Source organism: Homo sapiens, chromosome 19 (assembly GCF_000001405.40).
Source record: "Homo sapiens chromosome 19, GRCh38.p14 Primary Assembly".
NCBI classification, from domain to species: Eukaryota; Metazoa; Chordata; class Mammalia; order Primates; family Hominidae; genus Homo; species Homo sapiens.
Window position 1 is genome coordinate 34884627 of NC_000019.10, and position 20523 is coordinate 34905149.

At 41.6% G+C, this 20523-nt stretch overlaps 1 long non-coding RNA gene across 2 annotated transcripts; it reads right to left on the bottom strand.

Moving 5' to 3' along the window:
* Positions 1-7205: 7205 nt before the first annotated feature.
* On the bottom strand, positions 7206-20513 carry LINC00904 (long intergenic non-protein coding RNA 904). Of its 2 annotated transcripts, none has more exons than NR_046222.2 (6): positions 20335-20513; positions 19525-20126; positions 18339-18457; positions 14228-14379; positions 8718-8830; positions 7206-7670 (listed from the first exon to the last, which is right to left on the bottom strand). It is a non-coding gene; the product is annotated as a long intergenic non-protein coding RNA 904 (long non-coding RNA). The 2 variants fall into 2 exon arrangements; NR_187844.1 differs by having other exon boundaries at positions 14212-14379.

The following is a 20523-nucleotide window of genomic DNA, read 5'->3' on the forward strand; positions in this document are numbered from 1 at the left end:
AGATATTGGACTTATGAGACAAAGACTTTGAAACAACCATTTTAAATATGGTCAAAGAGTGAAAGAAAAACATGGACAAAGAATTAAGGAAATCAGAAAAATGATGTTTGAGTAAGTTGTGAATATCAATAAAGAGATAGAAATTACAAAAAGGAACCAAAAAATTCTGAAGCTGACAAGTACAATAATTACAGTGAAAAACTCACTATTGGGGTTCAACAGTAGATTTGAGCAGGCAGAAGACAGATTCAGTGAACATGAACACAAAACAATGAAAAGTATCTAGTCTGAGGAGCAGGAAAAAAAAATGAAGTGAAAAAAAACATAAGACCTGCAGGACACCATTAGGCACGTTAACATATGCAGTAAGGGATTCCCAGAAGCAAGAGAGAAAAAGAGGAAGAAATAACATTTGAAGAAAGAATGCCTGAAAGCTTCCCAAATTTGATGAAATACATGAATCTACGATCAATGTGTTAGTCCATTCTAACGCTGCTATGAAGAAATACCCAACACTGAGTAATTTATAAAGGATGGAGGTTTAATTGTCTCACAGTTCTGCATGGCTGGGAAGACCTCAGGAAACTTACAATCATGGCGGAAGGGGAAGCAAACACATACTTATTCACAAGGCAGCAGGAGAGAGAAGTGTCAAGCAAAGGGGAAAAAGTCCCTTATAAAACCATCAGATCTGGTGAAAACTTGCTCACTATTTTAAGAACAGCAGCATAAGGGTAACTGCCCCCATAACTCAATTACCTCCCACTGGGTTCCTCCCATGACACATGGGGATAACAGGAATTACAATTCAAGATGAGATTTGGGTGGGGACACACCAATCAACAAACTCCACATAGAATAAACTGAAAGAGATACACATTGAAATACATTACAATCAAACTGTTGAAAGACAAGCACAAATTCTCTTAAAAGCAACAAGAGGGAAGCAACTTATCATGTACAAAGGATACTCGATCTCACTTTTGCCCAGGCTGGAGTGCAGTGGCATGATCATGACTCACTGTATCCTTGACCTCCTGGGCTCAAGCAATCCTCCAACCTCAGCCTCCTGAGTAGTTGGGACTACAGGTGCATGCCACCATGCCTGGCTAATTTTTAAATTATTATTATTATTTCTGCAGAGATGAGTTTCAGTATGCTGCCCAGGCTGGTCTTGAACTCCTGAGCTCAAGCAATCCTCCTGCCTTTGCCTCTCAAAGTGCTGGGATTACAGGCATGGGCCACCATGCCCACCCAACAACCAGTTTCTCATTGGAAACCATAAAAGCCAGAGGTATTAGGTTGCTAAAAGAAAAAGATTAACTGTCAACCAAGAATTCTATATCTGGCAAAACAGTCCTTCAAAAATGAGGCAGAAATTAAGATATTCCCAGGTAAACAAAATCTGAAGGAGTTTGTTCCCTACAGGAGACTCTAAAATGGGCCTTTCAAATTGAAGAGAAAGAGCATTCATTAGACAGTAACACGAGGCCATAGAAAGAAACAAAGATGTCTGGTAATGATAACTACACAAGCAAATATAGGAGCCAGTGTTGCTGTGCGTTTGGCTTGTAAATTCACTTTTTCTTACATAATTTAAGAGATGAGTACATAAAAATTATAAGTGTATATTACTGGACACACAATATATAAGGAGGTAATCTGTGACAAGATAAAGGGGGAGGAGCTGTATAGGATTAGATACTTTATATGCCACTTAAGTTAACTTGCAATAATTTCAAACTACATTGTTATAGGATGTTAAATATAATTCCCATGGAAACCACAAGGAAGTATCTTTAAAAATATACATAAGGTCATAAAGAGGGAATCAAAAACATTTATTATGAAATATCAGTTAAACACAAAAAAGGCAGTAGTGGAGGAAAAGAATAAAAAAGGCATAAGATATACAGAAAACAAATAAAATGGTTGAAGTTCTACCTTATCAGTAATTACTTAAAATGTAAATGAATTAAACTCTCCAATAAACATGTGGATATTGGCATAATAGATGAAAACCAAGACCCAATGATATGCTGTCTAAACAAGACTTGTTTAGATCCAAAGACACATATAGGTTGAAAGTGAAAGGATGGGAAATATTATCCAATAAAAATAATGACCAAACAAGAGCTAAAGTGGCTATACTAATATTGGACTTAAAGTTAAAAACTATTAAAAGGGCCAGGCCTGGTGGCTCATGCCTGTAATCCTAGCACTTTGGGAGGCCGAGGCGAGTGGATCATGAGGTCAGGAGTTCGAGACCATCTTGGCCAACACGGTGAAACCCTGTTTCTACCAAAAATACAAAAATTAGCTGGGCGTGGTGGCATGTGCCTGTAATCCCAGCTACTCGGGAGGCTGAGGCAGGAGAATCACTTGAACCAGGGAGTCAGAGGTTGCAGTGAACCGAGATCACGCCGTTGTACTCCGGCCTGGTGACAGAGTGAGACTCTGTCTCAAGAAAAAAAAAATTACTATTAAAAGGAGAGACATTATATACTGATAAAAGGGTCAGCTTATCAAGAAGATATAACAATTATAAATATGTATGATCTAACATGACCACTTTTGGGTGGGGTTTTTCCCAGAATGCAAGGTTGGTTTAAGATTTAAAAAATAAATGTAATTCACCATATTAAGAGAATAAAGGAGAAAAGCCATAGGCAGTGCCTGTGTTCATTATGGAGGTGTAATTGTACTAAGTACCCTACAGACTGTCAAAACTGGTAATATGTGATGTCTACATGATGGGAAGCCACCATAGTCTGGTGGTTAAATGTATGAGCTCTGGAATCAGACAATCAGGGTTCAAATTCCACCCAGTGTGGAATGTGGGCCACTAGTACACATGTGACACAAGGAAGGTTTTATGGCTTAAATGCTGTCTTACTAAATTTGTAAAAATAAGTGAAGATAAACTGCCTGCCAGGAAAGAATGTGTTGTGGTATCCTTGTTGCCACCTCAGAAAGCCTAGCAGCCCCCTGGAGATGCTTGGGATAGTCGCCTGTCCCGGGTGGCCACAGAAAAGGTGCACCCAGCTCCTGGAACTGAAGAAGAGCTAGGGAAGCCCCTGGAGGAGCTGGTGTTGGAGCCTTGACCTACGAGCCTGGAGGAGTGGGGAAAGGTGGTGAGGGTGAACTGGTGTCATCTGCAGCAGTTGTCTGAAAGGAACAGGCTGAGGTAAATTTGCCCTGTGGCACTGAGGTGCCTGCAGACATGGAAGTGACAGTTATGTAGGCTCCTGGAGTTCAGTCTTGGAGAGTCCCACCTTGCCACCGAGACTGTCTGGTGCCAAACACCTGCAACCCATGATAGGAATGCCAAGAAGTACTAGAGAGTCCTGCTGGGGTTCAGCCTCTGGACCTCTTGCCCTTCGATGTTTTTCCTCATGCATTTTGCTGGCAATATGCCCTTAGCTGGGGCACTTTTTCTCTGTCGCATGTCCCGTGTGTCACATGCATCAAGCTGAACAGTACCTGGTTTGCCATGGAGGTAGCAGGTAGTGAGGAGACCTCTCCAAATGTCATATCCTCCAAGGACCCGGCAGCGCACAAACTGCCCTTCATAGGCAACTTGCTTAGCAAGGTTTGCCCCCATCCTGCTCGCATGCCTGGCCATGCTATCATGCACTCGTTCAACCTGACCCAGCGTGCTCCCCCTTCTGGCTGGGATCACTCCACTTTGGCTTTTTCCCTGGTAGTTCTACCAGGATCCTGGTGTCATATACCCCTAAAGGACAGTATCCCATCAGGAAACCTCAGTGTTCCTCTCTGGCGATCCTAAGGGGACTCTCTGAAAATGACATTGCTGTCTGCTTGTACCACAAAGTGGCCACTCCAGAATGACAAAGATCCCTCCTCCAAGGCACAAATGGACTCTCCTCCCTCGTCACCTCTAAGACCTGGGACAGCCACTCACACCTCCCCCCAGATCCTTGCTTAAAGGAGACCAAGAAGAAGATACCAGGGGCATGAAGGAAATGGATACTGAAGGAGGAAGATCCTCAGTGTGGGAGAAGACGCAGTTAGAGAAAAGGGGCCCCTATAGCAGTGGGAGAGTACCATCAGCATCTAGGTCCCTAGCAACCAGCAGTAGCATCACATATTTGGGAGCAGTCCTGAACCCCTGAAGATAAGCCTCTATTCCAATCACTCAGAAGACAGCTGAGGTTAGATTTTACAGATGTCTTCTATGAGTTCGTTCACAAAAGATCATGCCATCACCAGCCCAGATAGTCCTGCCTGCTAGAGGCTTCCTGCCTCTTCATGGCAGTGAAGGAGGTGCAGCAGCGCTGTATGGCCAGCCACATTCTCCTTCCTGCTGCCAGAGAAAGGAAGAGCTTGATGAAGGCCATTATCAACTCAGCTCTCCAGCCACATTGAAGTCAAAGACAGCAACTCACAGAGGAAAGCTTTCAGATACTCTGTCAATGAGAAATTCTCCACTCACATCTGCCAGTTGTAGTCTCTGTAAACAGAAATTGTCAGTGCCCCTGCTGCTGCCATTGCTGCCCCCATTGCCACTGTTGTGAGAGTGAGGAGAGCTGCCCCCATCTCCTACCTTCCCTGCATAGTTACTGCAGAAGACCTTAGCTTGGAGAACCCTGAACACGAAGGGAACCTCAGGGTGGGAGAATAATTCTCAGGTCCCTTCAGACAGCGTAGCAGCTCAGCCTTCCTGTTCTCCCTACCTGCTGTGGAGGCCACAGATCCTTTGCCATTGGTCACCTTTTCCTTGCAGATTCCAGAAACTACCAAATTAGCAGTCACTGACTTGGCTGGCCTGTTAGGCCACTCATACTCTCTGACCCTGTACCTACACACACATCAGATACTGATCATGAAATGAGATGCACAGTTCCTGACTCTCCTTTTGCTCTTCCTGCTATTTCTCACTTTGGATTCCAACCTATATTTGCTATTCCACTTAATAATGAGAACAGGGGCCCTCTGCATTCCAGTCCCTCGGTCATACTTGCGGGATCCTCTACTTCTGCCTAACCCACACGTCCTAGAACTTTCTCCCTCTCCTTAAAGCTTACCTTCTGCAGAATGGAGTCATATACACCTGTGCAGGTGGATTCTCCTCCCCTTTTCTTACAGACCCCTCCTCAAGTTGCTTGCACCAGTACCCCTGTCTTTACCAGCCAACCCATCACTGCTTCTGCAGTCACTTCTAGCATGCCAGGCAGCCTGTCTGCAGACTGGACTTCCCAGCCTGCCTGGACTGTGTTATAATTGATGTGGATAGTACTCTTCCTTCCAAGCTTTCTTCTTCAGGTCTCCCTCAAGATCCGGGGTGAGCTTCCTCCCATTGGACCAGGCCCATCCCAGTGTGGAGCGGATATCCCCTGCAAAGGCCATCATCCCCACCAGCCCACCTGCTTTTATGGTCAGCAGCCCTACTTGAACTTCTAAGCTTGCTTTTGATTCAGGAAACACTTACCAGCTGAAATCTGGGGGTCCTGATTCAGGGCCTTGCCAGAGAACCACTCCCCCCAGTGCCCTGTCTTTTCTGGCCCACCTACCACTGATTCTGCAGTCACCTCCACTCCAGTATACAACCCGTCTTCAGACTTGGTGTCTCCGCCTGACTTTGCCTCTAAGGAAATCAACATGGGTACCATGCCCATGTCCCCATCTGTTATCATCCTGTCTCTCCCTGCAATGTTAACAGCTGTTTCCCTTTGAGAAACCTGCCAGCCCCTGAAAACCCTTCACACTTAACCTCTACTGCAGCCCTAGAACCCAATGGCAGCACAACTCAGTTGGCTTTTGGGAACTAAACACTCCCGTGTCCACTTTGGCATCAATGTCAGCATTCAGGCAGCCCATGGTGGTGCCTCGGGTGTTTTACCCATTGGTGTGGACACTCTTACTCTTGCCATGAAATGCTACCAGAAAGCACAACACTGAGGACTGTTGCTCATTTCTTGCTGATGCCAATCCAAGCCAATTTGTATTTGTGGGATCTGAAGCCCTTATGGATAGCAAAAGCTTTGGGGTCATTGGGTCTACCACGCAGAGTCTACCACCACATCTAGATCGCTTAGCTTTGGAGCAAAATGGCTGGGGGACAGCCAGTACCACAGCTCATGATGGGGGAGGCTTAGACCTGAGCGCCAGGGTCCTGTCAGCCCTGATGCACTCCTGCTGCAATTGGAGAAGCCGGCACTGCTGAGAGCAAATCAAATCTGCCCTGGGAAACACTTTCCTTCCCACCTGTAGTTAGAGCACCTGGTGCCAGCCCAGCCAAAACACGCCTACTACTACTGGAAGATTTGTGATCACTGAGAAGGAGTGTTTCAGAAGACATGGCTGTTCCCCCTTTTGTTCAGATCACCTGGGACCTGTTTGGCCAGAGCACTTGTGTTCCAGTGGAAGGGACCAGCACCATACCTGTGCTGAGATCCTTCTCTTCCTGCCCCAGTCAAGCCACCTGGGGCACACCTAACTAAAGTACACCTGTTGCAGTCTAAGGGACCAGCACTGCATCTATGCTCGGATGCCTTTATGTTCCTACCTATAGCCAGAACACCTGAATCCCACCTGTCCAGGGCACGTGTGTTGCAATGGAAGGGGCCAACATCATACCTATTTTTAGAGAGTCTTCTCTTCCTGCATATGGTCTAAGTACTGGGGCCCACCTGGCCAGAGCAAACCTGCTGGAGATACCTGCACCACTGAGAAGAAATGCATGCCACGTGATATATCTGTTCATTCCTTCCATCAGACACCTAGGGCCCACCTGTGCTGTTTGAAGGGCTGGCATTTCACCTGTGATTGGAGATGCTACTGGCAGAGGACCTGGGGTACACAGTCTGGAGCACAGGTGATACACTGGGCGGAGGCAGCCCCATTCCTGGGCTCCAGGGTATTTGTATGCTCAGCATCATTGACAGCTGCTGGCGTGGTCTTGCCCAGGGCACATCTGTTACAGTCTCCCAGGAGAACACCATACATACACCTTTAGGAAGACACTTCTATTCCTGCACTCACTCACAATACCTGGGCTCTATCTAGACAAAGTAGCCCTCTGACTTGGTGTAGTGAACACCATTGAGAAAATACCTGGCTATGGGCCAGTTTTCCATTAGTCTTAGACTGGCAGGACCCCTTGCTGCCTATAGATATCCCGTTTTGTCTTGCCCATTTGCCTTAACAAGCCCCGTTCTTTCTTTTCCAGATTGCTATACAAATATGATATAACATAGCCTTGTTCTTATTCATTAATCCTCTGTGCTAAGCTTCAGCACTTTTGCTCCATCTTTCAGGGCAAATGTACCTCCAGCATGAGCATGGAAGCAGCAGTCTCGCTTAGGACACATTTGTCACCTGCCCAGGCTTCCTTTGGAGGCCAAAGTTTGGGATCACCAACTCATTCATTTTCTTCTAGTGAAAGAAACAATATCTCATCAACTTTAAGCAAAAGCTATCCAGAAGTAGCTGATAGTGGTGGGGGACCACAGTTTGCCATAAATGGACCTTGCTCCATTAGGAAGAGGCTCCACCTCTTCTAGTTATGTCAAACAAACTTAACCTGCCCTCTATCATCCTAAAGAAAGCTGGCAGCCCAACCCTTCAGGTGTTTTGTATATATGTTAAAGGGTGTGGGTTCAGATGAGACTGGTCAGAAGTCAACACACTGGCCTTGAGGCAGTCTACTGTGGAAAGAAGAAAAAGATCAGTAAGTATATCCACCACACCATACCCAGTTTCAACTTCTCAGTCTGGTAGAACCAAGCTATGGGCCAGTTTTCCTGCCATCTTACGCTGGCAGGACCCCTTGCTGCCTGTAGCTGCCTCCTTTGGTCCAGCCCATTTGCCTCAGTGGGCCCTTTTCTTTCTTTCCTAGACTGATAAACACACACACACATATATATATACACACACATATATGTTATATGTGTATATATATATACACACACATATAATGTATATGTATGTGTATATATATACATATATACATCACGTGTGTGTATATATATATATATAGAGAGAGAGAGAGAGAATGCCTTCCTTTTGTTCATTGATCCTCTCTGCTTACATGTCTTTTCTATTTTAGTCAACGGTGGAAGAAGAATTGACTTCTTTCTATAAGTGGTGCTGTGTTGAGGCAGATGTAACTTTTCAAAGTTCTATGGCTCAGCAAATAGGAGGTGGCATAGCCACACTTTACAACTGCACAGGCTGACATCTGACATCTCTGTGTTTTGATGTAAAGGATAGCAGCCATGAGGAAGGGAAGCTCAAAGGAGGAAGGGATGGGTGACCCTCCCTTGCCTTTTCCCTCTGTGCTCCTCTTCCATCACTCTGATTTGGTCGTACGCCAGACCACCCCCGATGTGTGTTAGGGAAACAAAATTAACAAATTTGGTTGAAAATAATTAAATGTCTCATTTGTGTCTTTCTCTTTCATTTAGACTTAAGAAAATCATCCCCACATATTCACACCTCGACCAAAGAGGATGGGTATGGTATAGAGGCCCTTATGTCTAGAAGAAAAAAAGGAAGAAAAAGCTCATGGCTCCTTTGTGATTATTGGAAATTTTAAGACTAGGATGTCACATATTATATAGAAGTGTTTTCATGCTCCATGAAAATTCAGAAAAGATCATTTTTTCAAGAAAATACCTAGATAAGGTCTATTTGGAAAAGTAATTGGTCTGGCTCTAGTATAAAACCCTAAAATAGCAAATTACAGTCCTTACCATTTTATCCAAATCTAGCTGGCTGTGGAGTCCTGCTGTGTCTCCAATAGACTTAATTCCTGAAAATACAATCTTTCCTAAGATAATTCAAGGTTCAGGAGAACCAGCTGAAGCTGGGGGAAAAAGAAAAATGTAAGCATTTCCCTTAGCTTAGACATATTATTTTACTAAATACTTATTCAGAGTTGATTCTACACTAGACATTGTGCTTGAGCCTAGTGACATATAGCTGAAAGGCATCTATTGCCTCAAAGGAATTTACAATATAGTAGGAGTGATGGGTGAATATATCAAAAGTAAAATCGGAGGGGTTACTAGTAGGGATATGGGAGCAGTAGGAACACAAAACTAAGAATATCATTTCTTCAGAAACTAACAGAACTAGACTAACAGCAATGAACAAAAAAAAATTGTAAATCCTTCCCTATCGATAATTACTTTAAATATAAATAGATTAAATTTCTCAATCAAAAGACACAGAGTAGCTGGATGGATAAAAAGAATTACCCAACTATATTCTGTTTACAGGAAACTCACTTTAGATTTAAGGACATACATTGTTTGAAAGTGAATGAATGGAAAAAGATATTCCATGCAAATAGTAACCAGAAGTGAGTCAGGTGGCTACACTTATATTAGACAAAATAGACTTTAAGTCAAAAACTACCGTAAGAGACAGCAAAGGACATTATATAATGATACATGGGTTAATTCATCAGGAAAATATAACAATTATAAATATATATGAACCAAACATAAGAACACCTAAATATATAAAGCAAACATTGGCAGGAATAAAGGGAGAAATAGACACTTTATAATAATAATAGGAGACTTCAATTCCTAACTTTCTGTATGGATAGAACATGCAGACAGAAGATCAATTAGTAAAATCAAGACTTAAACAACACTGAAGACCAAATAGGCCTAACAGGCATATACAGAACATCTCACCCAATAGCAACAGAATACACATCATTCTCAAGCCCACATAAAATATTCTCGGGTATAGATCAATTATAATTTTATCTAGATCTGGGTGGCTATAGAGTCCTGCCATGTCTCCAGTAGACTTAATTCCTGGAAAATACAGTCTTTTCTAAGATAATTCACAGTTTAGGAGAGCCAGCTGAAGCTAAGGAAAAAGATCAAATAACAAATTTAAGAAGATCATATCAAGTATCTTTTCTGAGCTAAGTGGAATGAAACTAGAAGTCAACACCAGAAGGAAAACTGGAAAATTCACAAATACGTGGAAATTGAACACTGAAGAGGAGAGTACACTTCCAAACTCATTTTATGAGGCCAGCATTACCCTGACACCAATGCCAAAGACAGCACAAGAAGAAACTATTGGCCAATATCCCTGATGAACATAGATGCGAAAATCCTTAGCAAAGTATTAGCAAATTGAATTTAACAGCACATTAAAATAATCAGACACCATAATCAAGTGGGATTTATCCCTGAGATGCAAGGAGGGATCAATATATGAAAATCAATTAATGTGATTTACTGCATTAACATAATGAAGGATAAAAATCATTTTATGTGGCTCTGAAACCCAATGGCAGCACAACTCAGCTTTTGGAAATTGGAATATGCAGGAAAGGCATTTGATGAAATTTGACACCCTTTCATAAGGAAAAATATCTCAACAAATTAGGTTACATGGAATGTATCTCAACACAGTAAAGGCCAATAGGAAAAGGCCATAGCTAACATACAGTCAACAGTGAAAAACTGAAAGCTTTTCCTCTAAAATTAAGAACAAGGCAAGGATTCCTGCTCTTACTACTTCTACTTAACTTACTACTGGAAGTCCTGGCCAGAGCAATTAAGGAAGTGAAATAAATAAAAGGCATCCAAATTAGAAAGAAAGATGTAGTAAAATTGTCCATGTTTGCAGATGACATGATCGTACATATAGAGAATTCTAAAGAATCCATAAGAAACCTGAGAACTCAGCCTGGGCGTGGTAGCTCACGCCTGTAATTCCAGCACTTTGGAAGGCCGAGGTGGGCAGACGATGGGGTCAGGAGTTTGAGACCATCCTGGCCAACATGGTGAAACTGTCTCTACTAAAAATACAAAAATTAGCTGGGTGTGGTGGCAGGCGCCTGTAATCCCAGCTACTCGGGAGGCTGAGGCAGGAGAATCGTTTGAACCCGGGAGGAGGCAGAGGTTGCAGTGAGCCGAGATTGTGCCATTGCACTCCAGCCTGGGAGACAGGGCAAGACTCTGTCTCAAAACAAAACAGGCTGGGCACGGCTCACCCCTGTAATCCCAGCACTTTGGGAGGCCGAGGCGGGCAGATCACAAGGTCAAAAGATCGAGACCATCCTGGCCAACATGGTGAAATCCTGTCTCTACTAAAAGTACAAAAAAATTAGCTGGGCATGGTGGTGTATGCCTGTAGTCCCAGCTACTCAGGAGGCTGAGGCAGGAGAATCGCTTGAACCTAGGAGGGGGAGGTTGCAGTGAGTGGAGATCGTGCCACTGCACCCTAGCCTGGGCGACAGAGTGAGGCTCCATCTCAAAAAAAAAAAAAAAAAAAAATACTGTTCAAAAAAGGCAGAATTCAAAAAATGAAAAGGTAAACTATAACAAGAAAAAATATTTGCAAAATATGTGTCTAACAAAGGACTGCTACAACTCAATAATAAAATATCAGTCCATTCGATAAAAAATTGGCAAACATTTAGCTATACTGACCAAGATAAAAGGAGAAAAGATTCAAATTACCAAAATCAGAAATGAAAGAGGAAACATTACTATCAACATTATAGAAATTAAAAGAACTATAAAGGAATACTATGAACAATTTTATACCTAGAAATAATATAATTTAGGTGAAATGAACAAATCCCTAGAATCACAGAAACTATGAAAGCTAACTTGAGAAGAAATAGGATAATCTAATAGGCATACAACAAGTGAGGAGTAATTAATTCATAATCAAAAAACCACCCACAAAAAATTCCAGGTCCAGGCCAGGAGGAGTGGTTCACCCCTGTAATCCCAGCACTGTGGGAGGCCAAGCCACCCAGATCACTTGAGGTCAGGAGTTCAAGACCAACCTGGCCAGCATGGTGAAACCCATCTCTACTAAAAATCCAAAAACAAAAAAATTAGCCAGGTGTGGTGGTGCATGCCTGTAGTCCCAGCTACTCAGGAGGCTGAGGCAGGAGAATTGCTTGAACCCAGGATGTGGAGGCTGCAGTGATCCAAGATCACTCCACTGCACTGCACTCCGGCCTGGGCAACAGAGCAAGACTCCATCTGAAAAAAAAAAAAAAATTCCAGGTCCAGATGGCTCTACTGCTGAATTTTGCTAAACATTTAACAAAGAATTAATACCAATTCTTTGTGAACTGTTCATTTTATGGACAGTTAACTCATTTTATGAAGCCAGTATTACCTTGATACCAAAACAAGACAAAGACATCATAAGAAGAGTAAAGTACAGGCCAATATGATTCTTATGAATATGGATGCAAAACTCTCAGCAGAATACTAGTAAACAAAACCCAGCAATATATAAAAAGAATGTATGCTAGCAATGCAAGGTTGGTTTAACATCCAAAAATAAACTATTGTAATACATAATATCAGTAGAACAAAAAACAAATCATATGGTCATTTCAACACATGCAGAAGAAACATATGACAAAATTCAACATCTTTTCATAATAATAATTTTTTAAATTATTTTTATTTTTTAATATAGAGATGGGGTTTTGCCATGTTGCCCAGGCTGTTCTCAAACTGCTGAACTCAAGCAATCTGCTGGCCTTGGCCTTCCAAAATGCTAGGATTGCAGGTGTGAGCCACCATGCCTGGCCATAATAATAATTTTTTAAAAACTCAACAAAGTAGTATAAAAATGAACTTCCTCAACCTGATAAGAGCAAGTACAAAAAACCCACGGCAAACATCATAATGATTAAATTTGGATGCTTTCCCTCTAAGTTTACAAACAAGATTATAGGCTGGGCATAGTGGCTCATGTCTGTAATCCTACCACTTTGGGAGGTTGAGGCAGCCAGATCGCTTGAGCCCAGGAGTTCAAGACCAGCCTAGGTAACATGGCAAAACCCTGTCTCTACAAAAATTACAAAAAAATTAGCCAGGCATGGTGGTGGGCACCTGTAGTCCCAACTACTTGGGAGGCTGAGGTGGGAGGATCACCTGAACCCAGGAGGTCAAGGCTGTGGTAAGCTGTAATCGTGCCACTGCATTCCAGCCTGGGTGACAAAGTGAGACTCTGTCTCAAAAAAACAAACAAACAAAACAAAACAAAAAAACAAGATTATAATGTCTACTCTCATCACTTTTATTTATTATTGTACTTGAGTCTTTAGCTAGAGAAATTTGCAGATTAGAGTTATTTTGTGGGGAATGTCCAAAAGAATCCAATGAAAAATCTATTAGAACTAATAAACTAGTTCAGCAGTATTATAAGATATAAATTAATATACAAAAATCAATTGTATTTCTATACACTTGCAATGAATCATCCAAAACTAAAATTAAGTAAACAATTTCATTTACAGTAACATCATAAAGAGTAAAACATTTACGAATAAATTTAACAAAAACATTTTCAACATATACTCTGAAAACTACAAAACATTGTTTAAAGAGAGTCAAAAATATCTACAGAATAGGAAAAAGAATGCACATTCACGAATAAGAAGGCTTGATATTGTTTAAGATGACAATATTCCCCAAACTGATCTACAGATTCAAAGCAGTCTCTAGCAGAATCCCAGCTGACCACTTTGTAGAAAGTGATAAGGTGATTGTAAAATTCATATGGAATTGCAAGGAATCCTAAGTAGCCAAACATTTTGAAAAAGAAAAACAGCCGGGCGCAGTGGCTCACGCCTGTAATTCTAGCACTTTGGGAGGCCAAGGCGGGCAGATCACCTGAGGTAAGGAGTTCGAGACCAGCCTGACCAACATGGTGAAATCCCGTCTCTACTAAAAATACAAAAACTAGGCCAGGTATGGTGGCTCGTGCCTGTAATCCCAGCACTTTGGGAGGCCAAGGCGGGCGGATCACAAGATCAAGAGATCGAGACCATCCTGGCTAACATGGTGAAACCCCGTCTCTATTAAAAATATAAAAATTAGGCAGGCGTGGTGGCACATGCCTATAATCCCAGCTACTCGAGAGACTGAGGCAGGAGAATTGCCTGAACCAGGGAGTCGGAGGTTGCAGTGAGCCAAGATCATGCCACTGCACTCCAGCCTGGTGACAGAGTGAGACTCCATCTCAAATAAAAATAAAAAATAAAAAAGAAGAAGAAAGAAAGCAAGAAAGAAAGAAAGAAGGAAGGAAGGAAGGAAGGAAGGAAGGAAAGAAGGAAGGAAGGAAGGAGAAGGAAAGAAAGAAAGAGAAAAGAAAGAAAGAAAGAAAGAAAGAAAGAAAGAAAGAAAGAAAGAAAGAAAGAAAGAGAAAAAACAAAGTAGGAGAACTCACACTTACTGATTTCAAAACTTACTGCAATGGCAATGGCCAGGCATGGTGGCTCATGCCTGTAATCCCAGCGCTTTGGGAGGCCAAGGTGGGAGCATTGCTTGAAGCTGGGAGGTCGAGGCTGCAGTGAGCCATGCTCATATCACTGCACTCCAGCCTGGATGACACAGCAAGACCCTGTCTCAAAAACAACAAAAACAAAACAAAAGAAAACAAGAGTTATTGCAATGCAATAGTAATCAAGACTGTGTGGTATTGGCACAAGGATAGACATATAGATCAATAAAATAGAATTGTCTACAATTGCATGAAATAAACCCATAAATCTTGTTTGATTTTTTAATTATTTCAATCATTTTGTTACATTTCTCTGATAAATTTCTGAATTGCTTTTCGGTATTATCTTGGAAATCACTGTGTTGCCTTAAAATTGCTGTTTTGAATTCCTGATCATAGAGTTTGCCTATTGTCATCTTGCTAGGATTGGTCACTGGCTCCTTACTTTGTCCGTTTGGGGAGGTCATGGTTCCCTGTCTGCTGTTGTTTCTTATGGATCTACATCTATGTCTTTGCATTGAAGGATGTGTTAGTTATTCCAGCTTTCTCTGTCTGGTTTGTTTTTGTTTTTCTTAGATATGTTTGCTTAGAGATTCTTTGTAGTTTATCTGTTGAGTATCTTCTTCACTAGGTCACTCTCTCCTTTATGGTGCTAGGTGGCACCTTAAGCCCAGGTGTGTCTTTGCTCTAGTGAACATTTTGAGCTTTGCCCATCCTGAATGAGGGAGGTCCGAAAGGGGCTACCCTGGCAGGGTGGGAAGGCTGACTAGGGGTTTCTGCCCAGGAGACCCTCTCATTTGAGTTCTGGGATATTGCTGGTGATTATCTTTGTGCTGGATATTTGTTTCTGTTTCTGTGGTGAGAGTGAAGCCAGCTTGCTTCTACTCTACCATTTTGGACCTAGTACAAGTACAAAACCCATATATCTTTCGTCAACTGATTTTTTAACAAAGGTGCTAAGACCATTCAATGGGGGAAAAGTAATCTTTCAACAAATAGTGCTGGGGCAACTGGATAGTAACATGCAACAGAATAAAGTTGGACCATTGCCTTGCTCCATATACAAAAATTAACTCAAGGTGAATTGACTACATAAATTAAGAGTTAAAACTATAAAACTCTTAGAAGAAAACATATAGAAAAAGCTTCATGACATTGATTTTGGGAATGGTTTCTTAGATGTGGCAGCAAATAACAAGCAAAAGATAAACTAGATAAATGTTTTGCCACATCAAAATGAATAACTTTTGTGCTTCAAAAGATAGCATCAAGAAATTGAAAGTAAAACCCATAGAATGGGAAAAAATATTTGCAAATCATATACGTGGTAAGAGGCTTGTACTCCTAATGTATAACTCTTACAACTCAATAATAAAAGATAAAAACCTATTTAAAAATAAGCAAAGGATACGAATAGACATTTCTCCAAAGAAGACATAAAAATGGTCAATTTGCAAACAAAAAGATGGTTAGAAACATTAGTCATTAGAGAAATGCAAGTCAAAACCACAATGATGTGCCATTTCATACCCACTAGGATGGCTAGAATCAAAAAGTCAGATAACAAAAAGTGTTGGCAAAAACCTGGGGAAATTGGAACCTGGAACCTCAAACACTGTTGGTGGGAATGTTGAACGGTGTAGCCACTTTGGAAAACAATCTGTCAGTTTCTCAAACTATCAAAAAGAGTTACTGTATTACCTAGTAATTCTACTTCAAAGCATGTACCCAAGATAAATGAAAGCAACCCATGCCCACACAAAAACTTGTATATGAGTGTTTGCAGCATTATTCATAATGGCTAAAAGGTAGAAACAATCCAAATGCCCAGGTGATTAATGGGTAAACAAAAGCGGTACATCCATATAATAGAATGTTATTTGGTCATAAAAACACATATTATTTAGCCATAAAAACACCCATGCTACAACATGGATGAATCTTGAAAACATTATGCCAAGTGAAAAAAGCCAGACACAAAAGACCATATATCATACAGTTCCATTTATATGAAATGTCCAGAACAGGGGATCCATAGAAACAGAAAGCAGATCAGTGGCTTCCAAGGGTTGAAGGATATAGGCTCGTAGCTGAAAAATAGAGGGTTTTCTTGAGATGATAAAAGGTTCTAAAATGGACTCTGGTAATGGTTGTACATATCTATAAATATACTACAAAACACTGAATTATACACTTTGAATGAGTAAATTATATGAATATGTGAACTATATCTCAATAAAGTGTAAAAACAAAACAAAAATTACCAATATAATGAATAAAAATGAGGCATGAATGCAGATCTGAAAGACTATTAAAAGTACAAAAAGGAACTAAAAATATCTTTCCAAAAAGAAAACTGCAGGTCTGAATGATTTTAATGGTTAATTCTATCAAACATATAAGAAAGATGTTTTACCAGCATTAAACATACTCTTTCAGAGAATAAAGAAAGCAATTTTTCCTAACTCATTCTGTGTAACTGACATTACCCTAATATAAAAACCTAGCAAGAAAGGGACACAATAGATTAATAAACCTCATGAACATAGACATAAAATTCTTTTTTTTTTTTCTTCTCGTTCTGTCACCCAGGCTGAAGTGCAGTGGCACAATCTCGGCTCACTGCAACCTCTGCCTGGGAGGTTCAAGCGATTCTCCTGTCTCAGCCTCCCGAGTAGCTGGAACTACAGGCATGCACCACCACGCCCGGTTAATTTTTGTATTTTTAGTAGAGACAGTGTTTCACCACGTTGGTCAGGCTGGTCTCAAACTCCTGACCTCAGGTGATCCACCCGCCTCAGCCTCCCAAAGTGCTGGGATTACAGGCATGAGCCACCGCGCCCTGCTGACATAAAATTCTTTCACAACATCTCTGGGAATTAAATTCAACCAAATAGAAAAGAATGACCTAGCATGACCAAGTAGGGTTTGTCTCAGATATGTAAGGTTGGTCTAACACTCAAAATTTAAAATGTAATTCACCATATTAAGAGAACAAACAAAAAGTCATATGATTATCTCAGCTTTGGACAAAGTAATTGAAAAAAATTTTAATTCTGGATATCAATCCCTTCTCAAATATATGATTTACAAGTATTTTTTCCAATTGCCTGGGTTGTCTTTTCACTCTGTTAGATAGTGTCTTTTGATGCACAAAACTTTTTAACATGTATTTTTTTGTGGCCTGGCATATTTGTTTTTGTAGTTATGGCAAGAGTTCTGAGATTAATTTTAATACACCTTTGACTCCAGACACAATAGTTCACAAGCAATCATTACTTAATTTATAAAAACATCTTTTCTATGACAACATGGGTTTCAAGTAATAGTTTTATTTTTCTTTCCAACTTTTATTTTAGGTTTAGGGGAGTACATATGCAGATTTGTGACATGGGTTGAAAAAATTTAACACCTCTTTGAAAAAATTTCTCAGTATAGAAAGAATTGGAGGGAACAGCCTTTACATGATAAAGCACATCTATAAAAGCCTTAAGTTAATAGCACACTGAGCACTTTCCACCCCCCGATCAGGAGTTGGAAAAGGTTATCTATTGTCTCCACTTGTATTAAACATTTTACTGGAGATCACAGTAACTGTAAAAGGTAAGAAAAATAAAATCATACAGATTAAAAAGAATATGCATAGAAAACATAATTGTATATGTAGAAAACACTACCCGATATACAAAGAAACTACAAGAGATAAGAAAGGAATTTACTGAGGTGCCATATAAAAAAGCAATTATTTTTGCTGTATCCTACTACATACCAATAGACAGATAGATAGACGTAGATATATATGTGCATGTATATATACACATATATGTGAGTATGTGCATATATATACATGCATATATATATATATAAATGTCTATCTATATGTACACACACACATATACACAAAATGCATACCATGATAGTGGACTGGAAAAAGTTAAGTCATCCACTTAAGATGACATTTAAGAAAGGTAAGTCATCCATTTCAACCAGGACCCTGAAAGTTGTCCATGAAATTATTACCAGAGATATTGGTGTCCATGGGGCATAGGCTTTTAAGCCAGGATAGATCCTGCACCCACCTGATGTCATCTCATGTCCTTGCACCCAGGAGGAGATGCCACACACAACTGTGTAGGTAGCTGCAAAGCTCAGTAAGAAAAGAAATGCCCAGTTTTGCTGTGCTGACAATTGTTGGTCTCTGCAAACATAGAAGGTAAGAAAGAGAAATAAAAGGCATGCAGGTGGAAAGAGAAGTAAAACTGACTTTATTCATACATGATGCATGGAAAATACATGTAGAAAACCCAAAGGAATCTGCAAAAAAAAAAAATCTACCAAAAATAAACAATGAATTTAGCAAGATCCCAATAATATAAGGTGTGTGTGTATATATGTATGTGTGTATACAAGTACTATATATACATATATATTTAATGCATTTTCTGTGTTCTACCAATGAACTATTTGAAAATAACATTTGCAAATCCCATAACATACTTAGGGATAAATTAGCAAAAGCTGAGTAAGACCTATACACAGAAAACTACAAAAGAGTAGCTGCAAACTTTCTCTGTAAAGGGTCAGGGAGTAAATAATATAGGTTTTATAGGTCACGTATGATCTCTGTCACATATTCTCTGGAATTTTCTGTTGTTTTTAAAGACCTTTTAAAGACGTTAACATCATTCTTAGCTAACCGGCCTTACAAAAACAGGCTATGAGTGGGGCGTGGTGGCTCACACTCATAATCCCAGCACTTTGGGAGGCCAAAGCAGGTGGATCATTTGAGGTGAGGAGTTCGAGACCAGCCTGACCAACATGGTGAAACCCGTCTCTGCTTTATACAAAAATTAGCCGGGCATGGTGGTGGGCGCCTGTAATCTCAGCTACTCAGAAAGCTGAAACAGGAGAATCGCTTGAACCCGGGGGTGGGTGGAGGTTGCAGTGAGCCAAGATCGTGCCACTGCACTCCAGCCTGGGTGACAGAGCGAGACTCCCTCTCAAAAATAAAAATAAAACAGACTATAGGCCACATTTGGCCCATGGGCTGAAATTTGCTGACCCTTGGTATAAAACATTGCTGAGAAAAAAAATGTAAAAGATTAAAATATATGGAGATATATCCCGTGAGATGGATTAGAAAAGTTAATATTGCTAAGTTTTCCATTTTGGCCAAACTCTGAAATCTGTTCTGTGGAATTATTACAGGAGATCCTGGTCCCTTGGGGCACAAGGATTTTAAGCCAGGGTGAATCTTGCACCCACCTGATGTGCCATCTCCTACGCTTGCTGAGGCAGCTGTGTGGTTGGCTGCTGGGGTCCATTTGAAGAGAAAGGCCCTGTGGGATATGCTAACAAGTGGAACTCCCTGCCCTACATCGTCTGAGGAAACTGGAACCCAGCCAAAGAAGACCTTCCAGTAGGCAGTGCCTGTGATCACTGTAGGTGTGCATGGTGCTCAGTACCCTACAGGCTATAAAAAATAGTAATGCACGATGCACACATGATAAGGAGGCATCACAGTACAGGTGGTTAAATTCAGGAACTCTGGAATCCGAGAGCCTGGGTCAAATCCTGACAGGGCCACTACCACCTGTGTGAGCCAAGGAAGCTTCTAAAGTTTTACAAATGCTGTTTCACCAAATTTGCAAAATGAAGAGAACCTGCCTGCCTGGTAGAGATATTGTGGAAAGCAGCATCCAGGAAGGTCTGAGCACCTGGTCCCCAAGTCAGAAACCTTCACAGCCCAGATGGGGATGCCCTAAGTTCATACCCTTCTAGGCGACCACAGAGAAGTCCCGCCTGGCTCCAGGACTCGGAAAAGCGCTAGAGAGCTTCCTGGAGGAGGCGGCATCCTCCCATGCTACCTGCATAGAGAAGAGAGAAGGGAAACTGGGTCCTCTGTGGCGGCTGCCTGAAAGGAAGCAGCTGGGGGCTCTTGCTCCCTGCCTGTGCTGGTGTCTTCTCCCCACCTTAGCCCAGGCCGGCTGCAGCGGCGGGGCTGCCTGGGCGGAGTCAGGAGACAGCACCGCCCGGCCCCTCCCCAGGCACCTTCCCTGTGAGCCAGCTCCCTACCCTGGGAGGATCTGGGGAGTTCCTGCCTCTGGCTTTGGGCAAGGTCTGCCTCCAGAGTCCCCAGCTGCAAGGGCCGGCGCACCCACGCGCACTGGTTGCCAAATCTCCCGCTTTCAGGCCAGGTGCGGAGCGCGCCTCGACAGTCCTGAACATTCTCCACTTAACGGCTGAGAGCCGCTGGGAGCCTAA